Raw genomic sequence first — 24,933 nt, forward strand, 5'->3', positions numbered from 1 at the left:
AGTGGCGCAATCTCCGCTCACTGCAATCTCTGCCTCCAGGGTTCAAGCAATTCTGCCTCAGCCTCCGAGTACCTTTGATTACAGGCGCCTGCCACCACACCCAAGTAGTTTTTGTATTACTTGGTGAAACCTTGTCCCTACAAAAATACAAAAATTAGCCGGGCGTGGTGGTGGGTGCCTATAATCCCAGCTACTCAGGAGGCTGAGGTGGGAGAATCGCTTGAATCCCTGGGGCGGAGGTTGCAGTGAGCAGAGATTGCACCATTGCACTCCAGCCTGGGCGACAGAGTGAGACTCCATCTCAAAAAAATAATAATAAATTTAATTTTAAAAATTAGAGATGGGGTGTTGCTATACTGCCCAGGCTGGTCTTGAACTCCTGGGCTTAAGCAGTCCTCCCACCTTGGCCTTCCAAAGTGCCAGGATTACAGTCATGAGCCAACAAACCTGGCCTTTTTTTTTTTTTTTTTTTTTTTTTTAGAGACAGGGCCTCACTCTGATGTCCAGGCTGGAGTGCAGTGGTGCAATAGTAGGTCACTGCAGCCTCAAACTCCCAGGCTCAAGTGAGCCTCCCATCTCAGCCCCCCAAGTAGCTAGGACTACAGGCACCTACCACCACACCCAGCTGGTTTTTATATTTTTTTGTAGAGATAGGGTTTTGCCATGTTGCCCAGGCTGGTCTTGAACCCCTGAGCTCAAGCGATCTACCTGCCTCAGCCTCCCAAAGTGATGGGACTACAGGCATGATCCACTGCGCCTGGCCAGTGACCCTTCTTATTTTATATATATGCATATATATATACATATATAGATATATATATTTTTTGAGATGGAGTCTCACTGTGTTGCCCAGGCTGGAGTGCAGTGGCGTGATCCTGGTTCACTGCCCTCAGCCTCCCAGGTTCAAGCAATTCTCATGCTTCAGCCTCCCTAGTCGCTGGGACTACAGGCATGTGCCACCACACCCAGCTAATTTTTTGTATTTTTAGTAGAGACGGGGTTTCACCATGTTGGCCAGGCTGGTCTCGAACTCTTGACCTCAAGTGATCCGCCGGCCTCTGCCTCCCAAAGTACCGGGATTACAGGGGTGAGCCACCATGCCCAGCCCACATTTTATATTTAAAAAGCAGAATCTGATGTGTGGGAAATGCCAATCCCCAGGCAAATAGAAACTCCTTCATTTTGCAGATCTGGTATCTGCATAATTTCAACAGAAACTATTTTTTAGAGAGGCAGAAATGATGTTGGCCCCAATCCAAGCCTCGGGGGTTTCTAGTCTCAATCAAGGAAGTGAAGATCAAAGAGAACATGACTGATTAGGGCTTTGACTCTCAGAGTTTGGTGTGAATCAGAATCACCCCGAGCCCTGTTAAAGAATTCAGACGCCTGGCTCCACCCTACAGACTCTGATTTAATGAGTTTAAAGTGGGGCCCAGGCATCTGCATCTGTTTATAACAAACCACCCTGGTGACATTGATGCCCACTTGCGTGTGGAGGACCTGCTGGAGGAGTCTGAGGAAGGCTGGAAAGGGAAGCATTCAGCTGTGATCAATCCTAAGACTCTGGGCACGGTGACGCACATCTATAGTCCCAGCTACTTGGGAGACAGGCTGAGGGTCACTTGAGCCCAGGAGTTTGAGACCAGTGCCCCTACACTCCCCACCTCCATATCTTAAAAAAAAAAAAAAAATTCCGGCCAGGTGCGGTGGCTCATGCCTGTAATCCCAGCACTTTGGGAGACCGAGGCGGGCGGATCACAAGGTCAGGAGTTCAAGACCAGCCTGGCCAGCATGGTGAAACCCCATCTCCACTAAAAATACAAAAAATTAACCGGGCATGGTGGCACGTGCCTGTAATCCCAGCTACTCAGGAGGCTGAGGCAGGAGAATTGCTTGAACCCAGGAGGCAGAGGTTGCAGTGAGCCAAGATCGCACCACTGCATTCCAGCCTGGGTGACAGAGCGAGACTCTGTCTCAAAAAAAAAACAAAAACAAAAACAAAAATCCTAGGGCTATGAGACTATGAGAGGCCTTGAACTGGGCCCTGGAGGGGCAGAAGGCTTGGGAGGACTGTGATCACATCTCTGCTTAGGCACAGTGGGCTGGGTTTGGACCAGATCATCCATGAAAAGCCACCATTCATCTCTGGCCAAGACCTGCCCTTGTGAGAGGCAGCTGAACATTGACCTTCTGCCCCTTACTGTAACCTTTTGGTTTTCTGCTCTTTGGTCAGTTCTGGGGAAGAGACAAACATATCCCTGAGGTGCTGAAAATTCTGCTGGTGCCTTGGGAGCATGTTCAGGACTGGAGATCATCCAACCTACCACAGTGTCTAAAAATAGAATCAAGCCAGTGAGAAGCCAGCTAGTTGGGGATCCTGAGGTCTCCCCAGTGATGGAGAGGCCTCTGAGGAGTTGGTGCTCCAGGGAATGACAGCCTTCTCTCAAGCACTGCTCCTCGCAGCTCCTGCAGCTTCCGGTAGCCAGCACCTGACCCCAAAACAAAGCCACTCTTCTCCAGAGCAGCCAGACAAGCAGGCAGGCTGGCGGGCTGGGAGATTCAGCCCCACTGCCACATTGGGCCAGCTAGGCTGCGGTGTGCCTTGCAAGCTTGCCCTGGCCACCAGGAGGGCTCTATTTTAAATCACGAGAATATGGTCCCCATGAAACGGCTGAAGTGAGAACTTAAGACAGAGGGCCCTGTGTTTCCTGTGCCCCTCTTGCTCAGCTGACTTCGCACACCCCGCTGCTGCCCACCTGCCAGAAAGGGAACTGCCTCTGAGTCTTGTACTGTGGGGAACCAAAGCCCAAGGGGAGACATGATCACAGTGAAAGTCCCCAAGAGGAAGGCAAGGAGCTGGTGTCTAAGCAGACGCGAGTACCAGGACACAGAGCTCTTGGGGGTGTTGGAGGATGTGGGCTTTATTCTGGAATAATTTTTTTTTTTTTTTTTTTTTGAGAGGGAGTCTCGCTCTGTCGACAAGGCTGGAATGCAGTGGTGCAATCTTGGCTCATTGCAACCTCCGCCTTCCTGGTTCAAGCAATTCTCCTGCCTCAGTCTCCCGAGTAACTGAGATTACAGGTGCCCGCCACCACACCCGGCTATTTTTTGTATTTTAGTAGAGATGGAGTTTTACAGTGTTGGCCAGGCTGGTCTCAAACTCCTGACCTCAAGTGATCCACCTGCCTCGGCCTCCCAAAGTGCTGGGATTACTGACATGAGCCACTGAGCCTGGCCTAATTTTTTCCTTTTTTAGAGACAGGGTCTTACTATGTTGCTCAGGCTGATCTCAAACTCCTGGCTCAAGCAATCCTCCTGCCATGGCCTCCCAAAGTGCTGGGATTACAGGTATGAGCCACTGTGCCCAGCCCTGAAATAATTTTTTTTTTCTCTCTTTTTGAGACAGGGTCTCAGTCTGTTGCCCAGGCTGGAGTGCAGTGGCATAATCACGACTCACTGCAGCATCAACAGCCCAGGCTTAAGCAATCCTCCTACCTCAGCCTCCCAAGTAGCTGTGGAATACTTTTTTTTTTTTTTTTTTGAGGCAGTCTTGCTCTGTCACCCAGGCTGGAGTGTAGTGGCGCGATCTCTGCTCACCACAACCTCCGCCTCCCAGGTTTAAGCAATTCTCCTGCCTCAGCCTCCCGAGTAGCTGGGATTACAGGCGCATGCCACCAAGCCTGGCTAATTTTGGTATTTTTAGTAGAAATGGGATTTCACCATGTCAGCCAGGCTGGTCTTGAACTCCTGACCTTGTGATCCACCCGTCTCGGCCTCCCAAAGTGCTAGGATTACAGGCGTGAGCCACCGCGCCCGGCTGGAATACATTTTTATTGAGCATGTCATGTTGAGTTTTATGCCCGGTCCCATACCAAACGAAAGTGCAAACATGGCCCCTGCTTCTGAAGAACCAAAAATCTGTTTGGAAAAATACTCATTTGCCAACCGTGTGCCATGCTCTGTTCTCCATGCCCTACAATGTCTTGACTTATCTAATTTTCACCCCTCTCTTATGGAGTGGGTACAAGGTGGTCGCCATTATACTTCCCGTTCTAAAGAAGAAGATTTTGAGGCACAGAGAGGCTAAGTAACATGCCATCGGTCCCAGCTCGTGAGGGACAGAGCTGGCACCTGCATCTAGATGCTGGCACCTGTAGCTGGGCCATCATCACCCTGGCGCTGCCCTGTCCTCAAATGTGGCTGGCACAGACTGGGGGTTGGAAGATGCTGCCTAAGGCCCTTTCCTTCTCCTAGGAGTTATGACTGCCCTGTAATGAGATTGTGTTTTTTTGTTTCATTTTGGTTTTTTTGTTTGTTTGTTTTGAGACTGAGTCTCACTGTATTGCCCAGGCTGAAGTGCAGTGAAACGCTCTCGGCTCGCTGCAACCTCTGCCTCCCAGGTTCAAGCGATTCTTGTGCCTCAGCCACCCGAGTAGCTGGGATTACAGGCATGTGCCACCACACACGGCTAATTTTTGTATTTTTAGTAGAGACGGGGTTTTGCCATGTTGGCCAGGCTGGTTTCGAACTCCTGACCTCAAGTGATCTGCCCGCCTGAGCTTCCCAAAGTGCTGGGATTACAGGTGTGAGCCACTGTGCTCAGCCTGAGATTGTTTTTTAATACACAAATAGAGCCATAGGCTCTCAAGTTTAAAAGGGGCTTGAATGGCTGGGCGCAGTGGCTCACACCTGTAATCCCAGCACTTTGGGAGGCCGAGGCGGGGGCGGATCATGAGGTCAGGAGATCGAGACCATCCTGACTAACACAGTGAAACCCCGTCTCTACTAAAAATACAAAAATTAGCCAGGCGCGGTGGCGGGTGCCTGTAGTCCCAGGTATCCGGGAGGCTGAGGCAGGAGAATGGCGTGAACCCAGGAGGTGGAGGTTGCAGTGAGCCAAGATCAGGCCACTGCAGTCTAGCCTGGGCGATAGAGCAAGACACCATCTCAAAAAACCAAAAAATTTAAAAATAAATAAATAAATAAATAAATAAAAGAAGCTCGAAGGTTGTGGAGTGAAACAACCCTGCCACGCTGTGGAGCTTCACAGGCAGATAATTGCTGCCCTTTTCACTCTCAGAAGCTCAACGGTGATGCTGTTATGCCTGCAGCATTCTTGGCTCTCCGGTTTTGGAATTGCTTCCAGAAACACTTCTTGAGCAAGACAAGAATCAGTCTCCGGAGAGTCTTATTTGTATATTTATTTACCCGCAGTGTTATTACCTAGCTTTATCACGAGAATTATTTGCCAGACTTAACTCTGAATGCCTTTTAGCTATTTCTGAAAGTCAGAGCTGCCATAAACCACTTAAGGCCTTGCCACCACTGAGGTTATTTAAAAGAATGTGCCAGGGGCTCTCAAAGCTATTTCATGAGAAAAGCTACAAAACAAAATAAAACAAACAAAACCCTTGTTAGAAGTGCGTGTACGGGGTATCATGCTCTCAAAGTCACAACTTTGGGAGGAGAGTACACCTTTGGATAGTTCGATCCTGCATGTTTGTTAGAAAAATGAATTTCTCAGCCGGGTGTGGTGGCTCACGCCTGTAATCCCAGCACTTTGGGAGGCTGAGGCGGGCGAATCACGAGGTCAAGAGATTGAGACCATCCTGGCCAACATGGTAAAACCCCATCTCTACTAAAAATACAAAAAATTAGCCAGGCGAGGTGGCGGGCGCCTGTGGTCCCAGCTACTCGGGAGGCGGAGGCAGGAGAATGGTGTGAACTCGGGAGGTGGAGCTTGCAGTGAGCCAAGATTGCACCACTGCACTCCAGCCTGGGCAACGGCGCGAGACTCCGTTTCAAAAAAAAAAAAAAAGAAAGAAAAATGAATTTTTCTGCTTTATGGTCTTCTTTAAGAGACAGGGTTTTGCTCTGTTACCCAGGCTGGAGAACAATGACACGATCATAGCTCAGTGTAGCCTCAAACTCCTGGGCTCAAATGATCCTCTGGCCTCAGCCTCTTGAGTAGCTGGGATCATAGGCAGGACCCACCGTCCTCAGCCTATGGTCATCTTCTGTACACTAGGTTATATGCCCTCTATGTGTACCAGGTAGGCTGGTATCCATTTTGCCTACTGTTGTATCCCCAGCACCTATCACAATGGCTGACCCAGAGTAGGTACTTAAGAAATGGGCCAGGCACAGTGGCTCACACGGCTGAGGGAGGAGGATCGCTTGAAACCAGGAGTTTGAGACCTGCCTGGGCGACATAGTAAAACCCTATTTCTATTAAAAATTTAAAAATTAGGCAGGCATGGTGGCATACACCTGTAGTCCCAGCTACTTGGGAGGCTAAGACTGGAGGATCACTTGAGCCCAGGAGGTTGAGGCTGCAGTGAGCCATGATGGCATCACTGCATTCCACCTGGGTGACAGAGCGAGACTGTGTCTCAGGAAAAAAAAACCAAAAAACTTGTTGAATGAACGGATAATATGATACACTAAGTAATAATAGATACTAAAACCAGTAACGAAAGACTGTAGGCTGGGCGCTGTGGCTCACGTTTGTAATCCCAGCACTTTGGGAGGCCGAGGCAGATGGATCACCTGAGGTCAGGAGTTTGGGACCAGCCTGACCAACATGGTGAAACCCCGTCTCCACTAAAAATACAAAAATTAGCTGGGCTGGTGGCGTGCGCCTGTAGTCCCAGCTACTCCAGAAGCTGAGGCAGGAGAATCGCTTGAACCTGGGAGGCGGAGGTTGCAATGAGCTGAGATCGCACCACTGTACTCCAGCCTGGGCGACAGACTGAGACACCATCTCAAAAAAAAAAAAAAAAAAAAAAAAAGGGAGACTCTAGCCAGGTGCAGTGGCTCAAGCCTGTAATCCCAGCACTTTGGGAGGCTGAGCGAGGCAGGTGGATCACCTGAGGTCAGGAGATCGAGACCAACCTGACCAACATGGTGAAACCCCGTCTCTACTAAAAATACAACCAAATTAGCCAGGCACAGTGGTGGGCGCCTGTAGTCCCAGCTACTTGGGAGGCTGAGGCAGGAGAACGGCATGAACCCGGGAGGCAGAGCTTGCAGTGAGCTGAGATCGCGCCACTGCACTCCAGCCTGGGCGACAGAGCGAGACTCCATCTCAAAAAAAAAAAAAAAAAATTAGTTGGGCATGGTGGCGCATGCCTGTAATCCCAGCTACTTGTGAGGGAGGTTGAGGCGGGAGAATCGCTTGAACCTGGGAGGTGGAAGTTGTAGTGAGACGAGATTGTGCCATTGCATTCCAACCTGGGCAACAGAGAGAGACTCTGTCTCAAAAGAAAGACTGTAGACAGAGGATACCTGTGGCACATCTCAGAACTCAGATGGTTACCTTCCCAGGGAGATGAAAATGAACACATTCAGCCAGGTGCATTCAGCCTGGCTAATTTTTTGTATTTTTAGTAGAGACAGGGTTTCATCGTGTTAGCCAGGATGGTCTCTATCTCCTGACCTCAAGATCTGCCCACCTCGGCCTCCCAAAGTGCTGGGATTACAGGCGTGAGCCACCGCACCCGGCCACCTCTATTCTACTTTCTGTTTCTATGAATTTACCTATTCTAGGTACCTCATATAAGTGGCATCAGACAATATTTTTACTTTGCATCTGTCTTAGGTAGCATACTGTGTTCAAGTCTCTTATGTGTGATAGCATGCATCAGAATTTCATTCCTTTTCAAGGCTAAATAGTATTCCATTGTAGGTACACACCTAATTTTGTTCATCCATTCATCAGCTGATAGACATTTGGGTTGTTCCCACTTTTGGTTTTTGTGAATAATGCTGCTGTGATTATTGGTATATTCACATCTGTTTGAATCTTTGCTTTCAGTTATTTTTTTTTCTTTTTTTTTTTGAGACAGAGTCTCTCTTTGTCAACCAGGCTGGAGTGCAGTGGCACAATCTGGGCTCACTGCAACCTCTGCCTCCCGGGTTCAAATGATTCTCCTGCCTTAGCCTCCTAGTAGCTGGGATTACAGGTGTGCACCACCACGCCCAGCTAATTCTTTTGTATTTTTAGTAGAGATGGGGTTTCACCATGCTGGCCAGGCTGGTCTCGAACTCCTGACCTCAAGTGATCCACCTGCCTCGGCCTCCCAAAGTGTTGGGATTACAGGCGTGAGCCACCACGCCCAGCCTGCTTTCAGTTCTTTTGGGTATATACACAAAAGCAGAATTGCTGGATCACATGGTAATTGTATGTTTATAAGTACTTTGTGTATTAAATCATTTAATCATCACATTAAACCCTATAAGGTAAATAATATTAGTATCCCCATCTTATGGATGAGGCACAGAGAAGTTAGGTGACTTACTCAAGGTCATACAGGGAATAAGTGGCAAAGCCAGGATTTGACCTCAGGGAATCTGATTCCAGACTCCACCTTCTTTTTTCCCTTTTTATTCTCCAGTGCCTACATTCTTATCACTATGGTAAAGCAGAGATGGCCAGGCATGGTGGCTCACACCTGTAATCCCAGCACTTTGGGAGGCCAAGGCGGGCAGATCACCTGAGGTCAGGAGTTCAAGACCAGCCTGGCCAACATGGTGAAACCCTGTCTCTACAAAAATACAAAAATTAGCTTGTCATGGTGGTGCATGCCTGTAATCCCAGCTACTCAGGAGGCTGAGGCAGGAGAATCGCTTGAACCCGGAAGGTAGAGGTTGTAGTGAGCCAAGATTGTGCCACTGCTCTCCAGCCTGGGTGACAGAGCAAGACTCTGTCTCAAAAAATCAAACAAACAAAAAACAAAAACAGAGATGTTGCAAGATGATATGTGAGCAAGAAATGTATGTGTGTGTTCTAGTTTGAGTTGGTGTTTGGAAGAAAAATAAAAAAGAAATAGGCCAGGTGTGGTGGCTCACACCTGTAATCCCAGCTCTTTGGGAGGCCGAGGCTGGGGTCCAGGAGTTCGAGACCAGCCTGGCAACATAGTGAGACCCCATGTCTACAAAAAATAAAAAATTGGCTGCGCATGGTGGTGTGTGCCTGTAGTCCCAGCTACTCAGGAGGCTTAGGTGGTAGGATCCCGTGAGCCTGGGAGGTTGAGGCTGCAGTGAGCCATGATTGTGCCACTGCACTCAGCCTGGGCAGCAGAGTGAGACCCTGCCTCAAAAAAGAAAGAAAAAAAAAGGCCAGGTGCAGCGGTTCATCCCTGTAATTCCAGCACACTGGGATACTCAGGAGGTCTTGTGCAAGGCTGGGAGTTTGAGACCAGCCTGGGCAACATAGCGAGACCCCATCTCTACAAAAAAATGAAACATATATATATGAAATAAATGTGTATGTTATAGGCAGTGAATTCTACAGGAGTTCTGAGCAATGAATCGTGAACTGGTGTGAAGTTGGGGTTAGCACTGAGTCTTGAAGGGTAAATACAATTGAGATAGGGAGAGAGACACGAGGAAGACCATTCCAAGCCTGGGGGAAACACACGGGAATGGTGAGCACACTAAGCGGTTTGTTCAGGAAGTATATACGTACACCAGCTGGCTAGAGGAAGACTCTTCTCACAGAATTAAAGTTGACAAAGGTTGTTTTTATTTTTATTTATTTATTTTTATTTTTATTTTTTTGAGACAGAGTCTCGCTTTGTCGCCAGGCTGGAGTACAGTGGTGCAATCTCCGCTCACTGCAACCTCTGCCTCCCAGGTTCAAATGATTCTCCTGCCTCAACCTCCTAAGTAGCTGGGACTAAAGGCACGCGCCGCCACGACCAGCTAATTTTTGTATTTTTAGTAGAGACATGGTTTCACCATGTTGGCCAGGATGGTGTCGATCTCCTGACCTCGTGATCTGCCTACCTCGGCCTCCCAAAGTGCTGGGATTACAGGCGTGAGCCACCACGCCCTGCCGGTTGTTTTTATTTTTATTTTTAATTTTATTTTTTGAGACAGAGTCTCGCTTTATTGCCCAGGCTGGAGTGCAGTGGCTCAATCTCAGCTCACTGCAACCTCTGCCTCCTGGGTTCAAGTGATTCTCCTGTCTCAGCCTCCTGAATAGCTGGGATTACAGGTATGTGCCACCAGACCTGGCTAATTTTTGTATTTTTTTAGTAGAGACAGGGTTTTGCTGTGTTGCCCAGGCTGGTCCTGAACTGCTGACCTTAGGTGATCTGCCCGCCTTGGCCTCCCAAAGTGTGGGAATTTCAGGCATGAGCCACCAGGCCCTGCAGGTTGTTGAAATCAGACTGGAAAAGCCCCAATTCCCTAGGAATGAGGAGTCATTGAAGGATTTTGCAAATGGCATTGGCTTGGTAAAAGTGGCGTTTTGAAGCAATTAATCTGGCAGGACTGTGTGCAAGATGGGTTAGACAGGGTAAAGCCTGGAGGCAGATCTATCTCAGAGAGCAGTCTAGACATGATGCCATGATAACCTGGTCTCTGGGAGAGCAAGACAAGTGAGGAGGAGACACTTGAGGATGGAAGAGATGCAGGAGGGATGAGGCGACCGGTTTGGAGACTGATGGCTGGAGGCGAGGGAGAGGGAGACATCAAATATCAAAGATGACGCTGAGATTTCCGGCCTGAGTGATTGGGATAATTATAACAACACCTGGCTGGGCGTGGTGGTTCACACCTGTAATTCCAGCACTTTGGGAGGCTGAGGGGAGGATCACTTGAGCCCAGGTGTTTGAGACAAGCCTGGGCAATATAGTGAGACCATGTCTCTACAAAAAATACAAAAGTTAGCTGGGCGTGGTGGTTGTTCGCCTGTGGTCCCAGCTACTCAGGAGACCGAGGTGGGAGGATCACGTGAACCTGGAGGTTGCAGTGAACTGTGATGGCTCCACTGCACTCCAGCCTGGACAACAGAGTGAGACTCTGTCTCAAAAAAAAAAAAACAACAGTGGATGGGGGCAGTGGTTCATGCCTGTAATCCCAGCATTTTAGGAGGCTGAGGTGGGCAGATCACTTGAGCTCAGGAGTTTGAAACCAGCCTGGCCAACATGCTGAGAGTCCGTCTTTACTAAAAATACAAAAATTGGCCAGGCGCGGTGGCTCACGCCTGTAATCCCAACACTTTGTGAGGCCGAGGCGGGTGGATCACGAGGTCAGGAGTTCAAGACCAGCCTGGCCAAGATGGTGAAACCCTGTCTCTACTAAAAATACAAAAAACCTAGCCGGGCGCAGTGGCACGCGCCTGTAATCCCAGCTACTCCAGAGGCTGAGACAGAGAATTGCTTAAATCTGGAGGGGCGGAGGTTGCAGTGAGCCAAGATCACGCCACTGCACTCCAGCCTGGGTGACAGAGCGAGACTCCGTCTCAAAAAAAAAAAAAAAAAAAAAAAATTAGCCAGGTGTGGTTGTGGGCACCTGTAATCCCAGCTACTCGGGAGGCTGAGGCAGGTGAATTGCTTGAAACCAGGAGGTGGAGATTGCAGTGAGCTGAGATCACTGCCACTGTACTCCATCCAGCCTGGGCGACAACTCCATCTCAAAACAAAAACAAAAACAACACTGACAGAAACAGGAGGTAGCTTCTGGTCATATTGAGCTTGAGGTGACAACAGGATATCCAGATGGAAACATCTAGGAGGTGGTTAGAAACATAGGTGTGGAGCTGAGAAACAAAGAAAAATGAGAAAGAAGACTGGGAATAAATCTTCTTGTAAAGAAAGCAAGAGCTCGTCAGAGGGTGGCACCCTGAGTCCCCACTTGCACCTCCAAAGCTCTCTGGCCTTACCTGCCAGAAGGTCCCAGGCCTGCAGCGAGACAGAAATTGACACTCTTATTCTGCCACCCTGATGGAAGGTTGACTCCTCCCTAGTCCAATTTAGAATGCATTTCCTTTTAGCTTGAAAGGACTAGGCTGCATTTTTCTTTTCTTTTTCTTTTTTTTTTCTTTTTTTTTTCTTTTTTTTTTTTTTTTTTGAGACGGAGTCTCGCTCTGTGGCCCATGCTGGAGTGCAGTGGCATGATCTCGGCTCACTGCAAGCTCCGCCTCCCGGGTTCACGCCATTCTCTCGCCTCAGCCTCCCGAGTAGCTGGGACCACAGGCACCTGCCACCACCCCTGGCTAATTTTTTGTATTTTTAGTAGAGACGGGGTTTCACTGCGTTAGCCAGGATGGTTTCAATCTCCTGACCTTTTGATCCGCCCGCCTCGGCCTCCCAAAGTACTGGGATTACAGGTGTGAGCCACCGCACCCTAAAAATACAAAATACAATTTTTGTATTTTTAGTAGAGATGGGGTTTCACCATGTTGGCCAGGCTGGTCTCCAACTGTGGACCTCAGGTGATCCACCCGCCTTGGCCTCCCAAAGTGCTAGGATTACAGGCATGAGCCACCGCGCCCAGCCATGAATGTCTAATGAATATCTCAGAGTTAACTATGACCCAATTGACACTCTTTTTTTTTTTTGAGACAGAGTCTCACTCTGTTGCCCAGACTGGAGCACAATGGTGCGATCTCTGCTCACTGCGCAGCCTCTGCCTCCTGGGCTCAAGCAATTATCCTGCCTCAGCCTCCTGAGTAGTTGGGATTACAGGTATGTGCCACCATGCCTGGCTAATTTTTGTATTTTTAGTAGAGATGGGGTTTCACCGTGTTGGCCAGGCTTGTCTCGAACTCCTGACCTCAAGTGATCCACCCAGCTTGGCCTCCCAAAATGCTGGAATTACAGGCCTGAGCCACCACACCCGGCCCCATTTGAAACTCTTTTTTTTTTCTTGAGACAGAATTTCGCTCTTATTGCCCAGGCTGGAGTGCTGTGGTGCGATCTCGGCTCGCAGCAGCCTCCGCCTCCCGGGTTCAAGTGATTCTCCTTCCTCAGCCTCCCTAATAGCTGGGATTGCAGGCGTGTGCCACCATGCCCTGCTAATTTTGTATTTTTAGTGGAGATGGGGTTTCTCCATGTTGGTCAGGCTGATCTCGAACTCCCGACCTCAGGTGATCCACCCACCTCGGCCTCCCAAAGTGCTAGGATTACAGGCCTGAGCCACCACGCCCGGCCCCATTTGAAACTCTTGACTCTCCCTCAGGTATGCTCTTTCTCATATCTTCCTCCTCTCTGTGAACTGGCACCCAGTCACCCTTTGGTGAACGAAGGTGAATGAATTCACCCTTTGGTGAATGAAGAGGACCATGCAGGTCCTTCGATATCCACTCTGCAAAATTCCAGCCCTGAAGCCAGGTGAGGGCTGCACATTTATCTCTGCCCACAGGGTAAATACAGTAGATATAAGTATCATATCGATAGATATGATGCTGTATGTCCCTTACCTGCCAATGCTGGGGAGTGTGTAAACAAGCCAACCCCTGGCTAGGCGTGGTGGCTCATGCCTGTAATCCTAGCACTTTGGGAGGCTGAGGCAGATGGATCACTTGGGCTCAGGAGTTCGAGACCAGCATGGGCAACAAGGTGAAATGCCGTCTCTACTAAAATACAAAAAATTAGCCAGGTGTGGTGGCGTGTGCCTGTAATCCCAGCTACTCGGGAGGCTGAGACAAGAGAATCACCTGAACCCAGGAGGCAGAGGTTGCAGTGAGCTGAGATCATGCCATTGCACTCCAACCTGCGTGACAGAGCGAGACTCCATCTCAAAACAAAAACAAAAACAAGCCCATCCCAGTCATTTTGGGAAGTAAGAAAGGGGCACGGGTGTTGGACAGCTGATAAACTGTACTAGAAATCTAAGGGAAATGCCTGATCACCAGTAACTCCCTCTCTGAAGTACTTACCCACAACTCATATCCATCCCCAACAAAAACAACAATTAAGAATAATAGGCTGGGCACGGTGGCTCATGCCTGTAATCCCAGTACTTTGGGAGGCCGAGGTGGGCGGATCACCTTAGGTCAAGAGTTTGAGACCAGCCTGGCCAGTGTGGTAAAACCCCATCTCTACTAAAAATACAAAAATTAGCCAGGCGTGGTGGCGCATGCCTGTAATCTCAGCTACTTAGGAGGCTGAGACAGGAGAATCACTTGAACCCATGAGGCAGATTTTGCAGTGAGCTGAGATAGCACCATTGCACTCCCGCCTGGGTGACAGAGCGAGACTCCGTCTCAAAAAAAAAAAAAAAAAAAAAAAGAGGCCTCCCTGGTGGAGGTTGCAGTGAGCCAAGATCACACCACTGTACTTCAGCCTGGGTGACAAGAGCAAGACTCTGTCTCAAAATAATAATAATAATAATAATAATACGCTTCCCCAAAAAGTTAGTTTGTAGACCACCAACTATATGTATCAAATGCAAACATGGTAGAAAGAGAGCTGACCTATAGCCGGGAGAGCTGGATTTGAGTCCTAGCTCTGCCACTCACTGGCTGTGTGACTTTGGGCAAGTCTTTCCTCATCTGTAAGACAACAGCATTCATCCAGCATTTTACCTCACTTAAGTCTCAAAATACTCTGATGAAGGGAACAGTATAATTAACGTCTGAGATTCATAGACATGGAAACAGATGCCGGGAGGCAAAATGACTTGCTTAACGCAACAAAGCTAATAATAGAGGCAGAACTGTAACTAAGCTTCAGATTCTGTGACTTCAAATCTCATGCTGCCTCCCCACCTCACCCCTAATAATTCACACGTCTGTGCAGCTGGGCAGGTTGCTCACCATACAAACAGTCCTTGCTCTGCTAGATAGATTTCATATGGACCAGAAGTAGCTTTGACTGTGTGCTGTATCTCAATTTCATTAACAATTTTTTTTTCCTGTCACCCAGGTTGGAGTGCAGTGGCACAATCATAGCTCACTGCAGTCTCAATCTCAGGGGTCAAGTGATCCTCCTGCCTCAGCCTCCCAAGTAGCTGGGACTACAGACACCTGTCACCACACCTGGCTAATATTTTTATTTATTTATATTTATTTATTTATTTATTTATTTATTTAATTAATTTATTTATTTATTGAGATGGAGTCTTGCTCTGTCTCCCCGGCTAGAGTGCAATGGCGCGATCTCCGCTCACTGCAACCTCCGCCTCCCAGGTTCAAGTGATTCTCCTGCCTCAGCCTCCTGAGTAGCTGGGGTTACAGGCGCGTGCCACTATGCCCAGCTAATTTTTGTATTTTTAGTAGAGGCGGAGTTTCACCGTGTTGGCCAGGCTGGTCTCGAACTCCTGATCTCAGGTGATCTGCCCACCTCTGCCTCACGAAGTACTGGGATTACAGGTGTCAGCCACCGCACCCGGCCAATTTTTTAATTTTTTATTTTTAGTAGAAATGAGATCTCGCTATGTTGCCCAGACTAATCTTGAACTCCTGAGCTCAAGTGATTCTCCTACTTTGGTCTCCCAAAGTGCTGGGATTACAAATATGAGCCACCGTGCCCAGCCTAAAACAAATTTTCTTTCTTTTTTTTTTTTTTGAGACAGAGTCTCGCTCTGTAGCCCAGGCTGGAGTGCAGTGGCAAGATCTCGGCTCACTGCAAACTCCACCTCCCGGGTTCATACCACTCTCCTGCCTCCGCCTCCCGAATAGCTGGGACTACAGGCGCCCGCCACCACGACCAGCTAATTTTTTGTATTTTTATTAGAGACGGGGTTTCACCCTGTTAGCCAGGACGGTCTCAGTCTCCTGACCTTGTGATCCACCCACCTCGGCCTCCCAAAGCGCCGGGATTACAGGCATGAGCCACCGTGCCCAGCCAACAAATTTTTAAATGTATAAATAAAGCCTTATTTATTTTTATTTTTGAGACAGACTCTCACTCTCTTGCCCAGGCTGCAGTGCAGTGCAGTGGCACAATCTTGGCTCACTGCAACCTCCACCTCCCAGGTTCAAGCCGTTCTCCTGCCTCAGCCTCCCATGTAGCTGGGATTATAGGTGCCTGCTACCATGCCCGGCTAATTTTTGTATTTTTAGTAGAGACGGGGTTTTGCCATGTTGGCCAGGCTGGTCTCAAACTCCTGACCTCAGGTGATCTGCCCGCCTTGGCCTCCCAAAGTGCTGGGATTACAGGCGTGAGCCTCCGTGCCTGGCCAAAGCCTTATGTTTTACAAGATACTTTTCAAACTATCTTTTTCTGCCGGGCGTGGTGGTACGTGCTTGTGGTCCTATAGTCCCAGCTACTCAGGAGGCTGAAGCAGGAGGATCACTTGAGCCCAGGAGTTCGAGGCCGCAGTGAGCTATGATTGCACCAGTGCACTCCAGCCTGAGCACCAGAGTAAGACCCTGTCTCCAGAAAAACAAAACCCTCCAAAACAAACAAAAAATCCCCCCTCTACCTTTTTATTTAATTACTGGTTGTTAAGTTGTAATAGTGTTAATGCAATCAACAAAAAGTAAACTATAGCAGAAAGAGTGCAGAGCCCTGAGTTGGATAGACCTGGGTTAGAGATCTTACTTGGTTTACTGACTCTGCAGTTCAAAATTTTCTCATCTGCAAAAGAAAGTTGAGAATAATGTCTGTTGACCTAATTCTGTAGAGGTATCATAGGATCAAATGAGACAACGCTTTTGTATAGGTTTTGTGAATTATAAAGCTCCAAACAAGGTTAGTTATCCTTATTTTAATTAAAAAAAAAAAAAAAAAAAAAAACGGGGGCTGGGCGCAGTAGCTCATGCCTGTAATCCCAGCACTCTGGGAGGCCGAGGCAGGCAGATCACCTGAGGTCAGGAGTTCGAGACCAGCCTTCCGAACATAGTGAAATCCCACCTCTATTAAAAATACAAAACTAGGCTGGGTGCAGTGGCTCACGCCTGTAATCCCACCACTTCGGGAGGCCGAGGCGGGCGAATCATCTGAGGTTGGGAGTTCGAGACCAGTCTGGTCTGACCAACGTGGAGAAACCCCGTCTCTACTAAAAATACAAAAAATTAGCCGGGCGTGGTGGTGCATGCCTGTAATCCCAGCTATTAGGGAGGCTGAGGCAGGAGAATCACTTGAACCTGGGAGGCAGAGGTTGCAGTGAGCTGAGATCATGCCATTGCACTCCAGCCTGGGCAACAAGAGTGAAACTCCATCTCAAAAAAAAAAAAACAACAAAAAAACAAAATTATCAAAGCATGGGGGTGCACGCCTGTAATCCCAGCTACTCGGGAGGCTGAGGCAGGAGAATCACTTGAACTTGGAAAGTGGAGGTTGTGCAGTCAGCCAAGATCACGCCACCGCACCCCAGCCTGGGCGACAAGTTTGTAGTCTTTGGACAAGGCTTTTATCTTTTTTGAAACTCTGTCTCAAACAAGACAGAAAAAAAAACCCAAGGGTTTCCATGTCAGTTCTCTCTTTTTGCTCTCCCATGTTGAGAACAAATGAGATGGAGAAGAGCTACAGAAGTGTATGTTATGTGAAAATGTGCTTTTTTTTTTTTTTTGAGACATGGTCTCTGTCACCCAGGCTGGAGTGCAATGGCTAATTTTTAAATTTTTTATGGAGATGGGGTCTCACTATGTTGCTCAGGTTGGTCTTGAACTACACTCAAGTGATCCTCCTGCCTTGGCCTCCCAAAGTATTGGGATTACCGGTGTGAGCCACCGCACCTGGCCCAAAATTTTCCTAATGCTATCAACGTCAGGCCACATGCTTGCTGGGGCACACAGTCCTGCTCTTTGTTTCTTAGCCTAAGCATAGCTCTAAATTTCCTCTTTCCAATCTCCAGCTGCTTTCCCCTTCCACTGCCTATGCTGGTCTGCCTTCTTCTTATCAAGAGGAGGCCAGTCATGTCTTCCGGACCCCTTTCAAAGTAGGTTCTTCAAGGGACCAGAATGGAAGCCCTCGTCCCCAGGCCAAGGTTGCAAGGCAAAGTTAGCTCCGCCTCCAAACTCCTACATTGATGATAAACATGTATTTGTTCATTTAGGTAACAAATATTTCCTGAGCATGTTCTCTGTACCAGGCACCTGCTGAGTGCCAGGGCTGCCATCACAGGAAGGTCATGTGGTGGAGGGGAAAGGAGCGGTTGAGAAGTTCCAATGAGTGTCTGTTTTGTTTTGTTTTGTTTTGTTTTTTGATATGGAGTCTCGCTCTGTTGCCAGGCTGGAGTGCAGTGGTGTGATCTCGGCTCACTGCAACCTCCACCTCCTGAGTTCAAGTGATTCTCCTGCCTCAGCCTCCGGAGTAGCTGGGACTACAGGCGCATGCCACCATGCCCAGCTAAATTTTTTTTGTATTTTTAGTAGAGATGGGGTTTCACCAAGGATGGCTGACCAGGAAGGTGTCCCCTCCCCTGTAGATCCTTGGCCTCCATTCAGTCCCCGGGGTTTGGGGGTAAGGATCGGAAGCTAACCTGACTGTTCACAACTGGTTTGGAGACTTGGACGGTGCACTGCAGCTTTGGGGCGCACTGATGAGGTCGGGCACTGAATTGGGGAGGGGGTTATCATCCCCACATAGACAAGGAACTCAGTTTCTTGGGGCACCCAGACACATAGCAGCTTTGACTCTCTCAAGTGACTTTGAGGTAGGTGAGGTCAGCTAGTAGGAGCCAAAGCCAGAGACAGAGAACCGGATGTATGGTGACCATGGTGACTGTCCATGACAGATTGGCTTTTGGACACAGGTGAAGATCTGGGGACCCTGGGTGGCACTAAATTCCCTCTCCGGCAGTCAAGGGGGCAAGCATCAGGCTTCTTTCTCAAAGCCTTGTCTCCGTTGCCTCAGATGCGGTGACCTGTCCTGCACAGTCTGCAGGCTCTGCTGCTCACTTCCAGCTCAGAGATGGGGCACAGCCGGAGCCTAAACCTCCTGCTCCTCGGGTGGCAGGCCAGGCGGGCCACAGGACTGCAGAAGGCAAGATGGCAGCAGCTGAGAGAAAGGACTTCCTCTGCCTGTCACCACCCGATGGCCCTCTTGCTTCCAACCCACAGCCTAGGTGCCTGGCAGCCTGATTCTCAGGGCATTCTTCTGTGGTCCTTGGCTCTCCATGCTGCCTCTGTCTTCTGCTCTTACCCTGTTCTTGACTCAGGTGCCAGCCACCTTTCCCACCTGGAGGAGCACCCCCCCATGCCCAAACCAAGTTATACCTCATGTGGGGGGTGTGAGAGAGAGTTTCAAACTTCTTCCAAAGGTTCTTTGACATGTTCTGAACGTCTTAATGTTGTTCTGAACATTAGATACTTGTTAATACCCCACTGGACAGATAAAGAGACTGAACGCCAGGTGCGGTGGCTCATGCCTGTAATCCCAGCACTTTGGGAGGGTGAGGTGGGCGGATCGTTGAGCACAGGAGTTTGAGACCAGCCTGGGCAACATGGTGAGACCTTGTCTCTACAAAAAAAAAAAAACAAAAACAAAGATAAAGGGACTGAAATGGAAACTGACTTGCCCAAGGTCAGTTACCAGGGTGGGGCACCCAGATAGCCAGGCTCCCTATTCCAGCTCGGGCCTCCCCAACGCCAGGTCACCACCTCGTGCTGAGCACTGAGCACACATAGCTTGCATATCCCAAGTCCCCTAGGACAGTCTTCTTTTTTTTTTTTTTTGAGACAGAATCTCACTCTTGCTTAGGCTGGAGTGCAGTGGTACGATTTCGCCTCACTGCAATCTCCGCCTCCCAGGTTCAGGCGATTCTCCTGCCTCAGCCTCCTAAGCAGCTGGGATTACAGGTGCATGCCACCATGCCTGGCTAATTTTTGTATTTTTAGTAGAGATGGGGTTTCACTCTGTTGGCCAGGCTGGTCTCGAACTCCTGACCTCAAGTGATCTACTTGCCTTGGCCTCCCAGGATTACAGGTGTGAGCCACCACGCCCGGTCAGTACTGTTTTATGATGGCTCTTTAGTACTCCTTGGAGGAACAGAGCCACCTTCTTAGGCCTGTGGGATCACTACCTTAAAACACTGCTTCCTGTGCCTCCTGTCCCCACCCATGGGCGTCCCCTTCTGGCCTTCTTGGGTGCCCTTGCCAACTATGCCACAAATGGTCCCTCCAGTAGAAAGCCCCTCAAGGGCCAGAAGGGGCAGGGGACTTTCATTCTCATTTTTTACACCTTTTAAAAAAGTATTTTCTTTTTTTTTTTTTTTTTTTTTGAGACAGAGTCTCGCCTTGTCGCCCGGGTTGGAGTGCAGTGGCACAATCTCGGCTCACTACAACCTCTGCCTCCCAGGTTCAAGCGATTCTTCTGCCTCAGCCTCCCAAGTAGCTGGGATTACAGGCACACGCCACCATGCCCAGCTAATTTTTGTATTTTTAGTAGAAACAGGGTTTCACTATGTTGGCCAGGCTGGTCTCAAACTCTTGACCTCATGTGGCCCACCCACCCTGGCCTCCCAGAGTGCTAGGATTACAGACGTGAGCCACTGCTCCCGGCCTGAAAAAGTATTTTCTAATTTTATTAGTATTTTAAAACTTGGTACTGTGAAACATAGCACCTATTTTGTTCCTCATTTCACTTTGGAAAACCCCCAGGTTGAGTTAGTGGGAGTTGAGCCCAGTCACTGTTGACCGGCTGCATGGGCCTGGGCAGTGCTGAGACTTGGCAAGAGAGCCCAGGGCCCCCTGAGGACCAGTGGGGCACAGAGAGTGGCTACGGGTGTAGCATGGGATGGAGGAGAGGGAGAAGCTGCTGCCCGGTCCATCTCTGATTCGTGGAGCTGATTTTCCAAACACTCTAAGGCCTCGGTTCACATTCTGTTTCCCACAGAGGAGGCTCTGCGTCTCTGAACTGTTGTCAGGCCCCACCAGGCTCTTCACTGTTTGGAGCCAGATCTACGGAGCCAAACTGCCTTGACCTGCTTTCTGAGGAGGGGACAGGCAGCAAGTGCCGGACCTAGCCAGATTCAGCCCGCAGAAGGTGTTCCAGACTCCAAGCAGCCTGCTGGCCTAGCTCCAGGCCCAGGTGGCTGCAGACTCCACAATGGGTGACTCAGGTAAGCTGTGCTGGACAAACAAGCCAGTGTTCTCAGCCCAGCAGGGTGATGCCTGTCATAAGCTTTCCTGTCGTCATTGTACCGCCATTTCCTGAGGGTGGCCTTGCCAGGCCCGGAGCCAGGGTCCATGGAGACTGGTAGGAATGTGGTTATCTTGGTTTATGTCTTGTTGCCAAGGTGCTTCCCAATGCTTCTAAAGCTGGGCTTGGCGCTGATCCACCAGCACCTGTGCTGTCTGATGGTGGCATGGAGGCCGCTGGGCTGAAAGAGGCCTACTGAGACCACAGACAGTCTGGTGAGGAGATACTGGTATGTGTCTTTCTCATGATCCTAACACCTATAGTTTTGGTGCTCCCTTCCTTCAGGAGTCCCAAAAGACCAGGCAAGCTGGAGACACTTGGCCAGAGAGGCAACTGGGCTTAAACAGCCAGCTTAAACAAACAGCTACTATTTCCTGAGCACTTCTCATGTGCCAGGCACTGCTCTAAGCACTTCACATATGCCAATGAATTCTCAAAACATTCCTGTGACACAGCTACTAGTATTATCCCTAATTTACAGATGAGGAAGCTGAGGCTGAGTCATAGGTTCAGAAACACACAGCTGGTGACCAGTGAATCCAGGATCTGTACCCAGGCTATGGAACCTAGAGCCTGCTAGATCCACCTGCCAAGCTACCTGACCTAGAGCTGGTGTTTTTTTTTTTGTCCCCCTTTATTTTTCTTTTTTATAAACAAGGTGTCTTGCTCTGCCACCCAGACTGGAGTTCAGTGGTGCAATTATAGCTCACTGCAGTCTCGAACTCCTGGGCTCAAGCGATCCTCCCACTTCAGCCTCCCTAGTATAATGGGACTATAGGCACGTGCCACCACTTCTGGCTAGTGAGCTGGTGCTCCTAACTCTCACAGGGTACTGCCTCTCTTCTGCTCTGTCATGATGACTGTAGTGCAAGAAGGGGACTCAGCAAGAAGCCTCAGGATTCTAGGCGTGGCTCAGCCACAACCTGCTGTGTGATCTTGGCCTTCACTCCCCACTCTGGCCTTCAGACTCCTCAGGGATTAGACCAAGTAGTCTACAACTCTGCTTCCAGTTCTGTGGCTCTGACTCACGTGGAAACAGCAGTGGGGAAAGGCCCTATCCCTTAGCCCCACCGGAAGTGTCTACTGCTGATTACCAAGAACAGCCTCACGGGCTTTTGAGAAGGGCAGGGAGGATCAACTCCTGACCTGGTGACACTGATGGAGCAAAGCTGCTTCCCCACTCCACACCTCAGTTTCCCCACTCCTTCCAGTGGAGATAATGACCTCTGTGTGCTCAGTGCTACTGTGAGTCAGGGTTAATTAGCATTAGTCATAGACTTGGGAATCCTCACAAGAAAAGGGTCATCTGGTGGGTCTGGGCTGTGCCCTGGCTGTGATGAGACACCACTCATGCCCCTGTGAGTGTGTCATCATGCTTCATTAGTGGCTTGCCTAACTTTGCAGGTCGGCCCTGGGGTGGCCCAGCCCTGAGTGCGGGTGCTGAGATCAGCCAAAGGATGACACCTGGGGAGGGCTGCATGTGTCCCAGGGTGGCTGCCAATGGCTCACAGTCCCCTGGATTTCCCTTTCGGTTGACTTCCCATTCAATCGGGTTCTTATCATTGCTACTCGAGCCACTATTCCTGGATGCAAGGCCCCAACTCTGACCTTAAATTTAGAGGTTTTTTTTTCCTTCTCTGTCTCCTCAATAAATACCCATTCTCATTTCTGTCTCTCTGCTGACTGTTTCAATGCTTTCAGTTTCTTTCTGTTTCCATCACCGCACTTGGTAGAGCTTAAGTGGGGTTAGGGGAAAGACCCTGTAACAAAATAAGGACAAAGTAAGAATGATGATGTCTTGTGTTGGCAAGTCCAGCTAGGTAAGCCAGAAGTGGAACATGGGGGACATCTAGTGGCCGTAGTGGGTACTGCTAGCATTCTTGCCTGGCACCGAGGTCACATTCTTGAACTTTTTTTTTTTTTTTTTTTTTTTTTTTTTCTGAGACAGGGTCTTGCGCTATCTCCCAGGCTGGAGGGCAGTGGTGTGATCACAGCTCACGGCAGCCTTGACTTCCCAGGCTTAAGGGATCCTCGCACCTCAGCCTCCTGAGGAGCTGGGACTACAGGTGCACGCCACCACACCTGGCTTTTTTTTTTTTTTTTTTTTTTGGTAGAGACGGGGTTTCCCTATGTTGTCTACTCTGGTCTTGAACTCCTGGGCTCAAACAATCTGCCTGCCTTGGCCTCCCAAAGTGCTGGGATTACAGGCATAAGCCATCACGCCTGGCCTCATACCTGAACTTGATTCTCAAGTTGGCTACAGTGACTTGCCCCAGCTCTTGGAGACTTGGGAGATGGCACGATCCTTAGGAGGGGAGATTTTCTTATCACTTAATAGCTGATAAATTGCATTTCCCTTGACATCTGGTTTCTCTGGATCTACAGAAGAAAGGTCTCAGGCTGGGCACGGTGGCTCACGCCTGTAATCCCAGCACTTTGGGAGGCTGAGGCGGGTGGATCCTTGAAGTCAGGAGTTCAAGACCAGCCTGGCCAACATGGTGAAACCCCATCTCTACTAAAAACACAAAAATTAGCTGGGCGGTAGTGGCATATGCCTGTAATCCCAGCTACTCAGGAGGCTGAGGGAGGAGAATTGCTTGAGCCTGGGAGGTGGAGGTTGCAGTGAGCCGAGATCCCACCACTGCACTCCAGCCTGGGCGACAGAGACCCTCCCTGTCTCAAAAATAAAAAAAGGAAAAAAAATCAGTCCAGCATGGTGGTGGGCACCTGTAGTTCCAGCTACTACGGAGGCTGAGGCAGAATCACTTGAACCCAGGAGGCAGAGGTTGCAGTGAGCTGAGATTGCAGTATTGCACTCCAGCCTGGGCAACAGAGCAAGATTGTCTCAAAACAAAAACAAAAACAAACAACCCAAGTAACAATGGAATTAAACATCGTCATGCATGTATAACTATGTCCTTGGTTAAAGGCAGGCAGTGGGGTCTGCCTTGGAGGCTGATGGGCTGAGTTTGAATCCCGGCCCTCACTTACTGGGCTGTGTGACCCTGAACAAAGTAATTAACTTATGCTTTTGTTTCCTCATTTGTAAAAATGGAACAGTAATTATACCTTCCTCATAGGACTGCTATGAGGCTTAAATAAGATAAAATGCTTAGACCAGTGCTTGGCAAACAATCTGTACTTACAAGTGATAGCTATTTGCAGCAGTAGTAAAATCAAGTTTCAGAGGTTCTCCTGCTCAAGACTGATTCCCCACATTTCAGTAGGAGGTAGACTCCAGCTGCAGTCTTGGTTTCGCTATCACTTTTTTTTTGAGATGCAGTCTCCCTCTGTCACCCAGGCTGGAGTGCAGTGGCGCGATCTCAGCTCACTGGAACCTCCGCCTCCCGGGTTCAAGTGATTCTCCTGCCTCAGCTTCCCAAATAGCTGGGACTCCAGGCACCCATCACCACGCTCGGCTAATTTTTGTATTTTTAGTAGAGATGAGGTTTCACCACGTTGGCCAGGCTGGTCTTGAACTCCTGACCTCAAGTGATCCGCACACCTCAGCCTCCCAAAGTGCTGGGACTATAGGTGTGAGGCACTGCACCTGGCCTTGGTATCACTTCTGATTGGCTCAAAACCCGTTGTGCCGTCAAGTTATTCTTGTGTGCCTTTCCTTCTGCTCCATTGGTTCTAGTTAGGTTGGACAAGACTGGCTAAGAAATGGACACAGAGGCTAAAAAGGATTTTCTTGTCTCTGTGATCCTGGCTTCCCCGTGAGAACTATGAAGGCCTTGGAGGTGAATCTTGAGTCCCTTCTAGGCTTCACATTTTCTGTTCCTACTACCATCCCTTTGAGGGCTGTTACTGACACACTATAGGAAACAATTTTCCTCCATATCTGCTTACTGGGATATCAATAGGTGGCTAATAGAAAGAAGTGAGTACAGAAAGCTGAAGAGTATGTTATTATAATGATCTGACTTGTTGGATAATCTCTGGATAAGTGACCAAATCTCCATGACCTACCTGTCCTACACAGAGGCCTTTGTATGTTCCTGTTTCCCTCTCTTCCTAATTGGCTTCAGCTATACAACAGTCAGTTCAACTAGAGAGGCACTGTGGCAAGAAAAACAATAACCACCACAGCTGTAGCCAAGGAGCAATGAGA

The 24,933-nt window shown here is 49.1% G+C and overlaps 1 long non-coding RNA gene across 1 annotated transcript in view, besides 10 other annotated features; it reads left to right on the plus strand.

Annotated features, from left to right (window-relative positions):
- Positions 1-24,933, plus strand: part of UBE2H-DT (UBE2H divergent transcript) — a 73,246-nt gene that overhangs the window by 35,296 nt on the left and 13,017 nt on the right. Inside the window, exon 3 of the long non-coding RNA XR_007060520.1 lies at positions 20,514-20,739. This is a non-coding gene — a long non-coding RNA (UBE2H divergent transcript). The remainder of the gene's footprint in view (positions 1-20,513; positions 20,740-24,933) is intronic.
- Positions 1,147-1,246: a silencer, noted in NCBI's record as "silent region_18641". NCBI's record gives its function as "represses an Ori minimal core promoter by ATAC-STARR-seq in GM12878 lymphoblastoid cells {active_cell/tissue: GM12878}" and the evidence as "EXISTENCE:reporter gene assay evidence [ECO:0000049][PMID:35858748]".
- Positions 2,583-3,082: an enhancer, noted in NCBI's record as "H3K4me1 hESC enhancer chr7:129630785-129631284 (GRCh37/hg19 assembly coordinates)". NCBI's record gives its function as "activates a minimal SCP1, AML or CMV promoter by ChIP-STARR-seq in primed H9 embryonic stem cells {active_cell/tissue: H9 hESC(primed)}" and the evidence as "EXISTENCE:reporter gene assay evidence [ECO:0000049][PMID:30033119]".
- Positions 18,136-18,636: an enhancer, noted in NCBI's record as "H3K4me1 hESC enhancer chr7:129646338-129646838 (GRCh37/hg19 assembly coordinates)". NCBI's record gives its function as "activates a minimal SCP1, AML or CMV promoter by ChIP-STARR-seq in primed H9 embryonic stem cells {active_cell/tissue: H9 hESC(primed)}" and the evidence as "EXISTENCE:reporter gene assay evidence [ECO:0000049][PMID:30033119]".
- Positions 18,637-19,137: an enhancer, noted in NCBI's record as "H3K4me1 hESC enhancer chr7:129646839-129647339 (GRCh37/hg19 assembly coordinates)". NCBI's record gives its function as "activates a minimal SCP1, AML or CMV promoter by ChIP-STARR-seq in primed H9 embryonic stem cells {active_cell/tissue: H9 hESC(primed)}" and the evidence as "EXISTENCE:reporter gene assay evidence [ECO:0000049][PMID:30033119]".
- Positions 20,242-20,321: an enhancer, noted in NCBI's record as "active region_26638". NCBI's record gives its function as "activates an Ori minimal core promoter by ATAC-STARR-seq in GM12878 lymphoblastoid cells {active_cell/tissue: GM12878}" and the evidence as "EXISTENCE:reporter gene assay evidence [ECO:0000049][PMID:35858748]".
- Positions 20,422-20,491: an enhancer, noted in NCBI's record as "active region_26639". NCBI's record gives its function as "activates an Ori minimal core promoter by ATAC-STARR-seq in GM12878 lymphoblastoid cells {active_cell/tissue: GM12878}" and the evidence as "EXISTENCE:reporter gene assay evidence [ECO:0000049][PMID:35858748]".
- Positions 20,579-21,078: an enhancer, noted in NCBI's record as "H3K4me1 hESC enhancer chr7:129648781-129649280 (GRCh37/hg19 assembly coordinates)". NCBI's record gives its function as "activates a minimal SCP1, AML or CMV promoter by ChIP-STARR-seq in naive H9 embryonic stem cells {active_cell/tissue: H9 hESC(naive)}" and the evidence as "EXISTENCE:reporter gene assay evidence [ECO:0000049][PMID:30033119]".
- Positions 20,579-22,074: a biological region, named in NCBI's record as "MED14-independent group 3 enhancer GRCh37_chr7:129649077-129650276".
- Positions 20,875-22,074: an enhancer, noted in NCBI's record as "MED14-independent group 3 enhancer chr7:129649077-129650276 (GRCh37/hg19 assembly coordinates)". NCBI's record gives its function as "activates an origin of replication core promoter dependent on BRD2, BRD4, P300/CBP and CDK7 cofactors, and independent of MED14, by STARR-seq in HCT116 cells {active_cell/tissue: HCT116}" and the evidence as "EXISTENCE:reporter gene assay evidence [ECO:0000049][PMID:35650434]".
- Positions 24,016-24,175: an enhancer, noted in NCBI's record as "active region_26640". NCBI's record gives its function as "activates an Ori minimal core promoter by ATAC-STARR-seq in GM12878 lymphoblastoid cells {active_cell/tissue: GM12878}" and the evidence as "EXISTENCE:reporter gene assay evidence [ECO:0000049][PMID:35858748]".

This window comes from Homo sapiens, chromosome 7 (assembly GCF_000001405.40).
Source record: "Homo sapiens chromosome 7, GRCh38.p14 Primary Assembly".
Taxonomy (NCBI): Eukaryota; Metazoa; Chordata; class Mammalia; order Primates; family Hominidae; genus Homo; species Homo sapiens.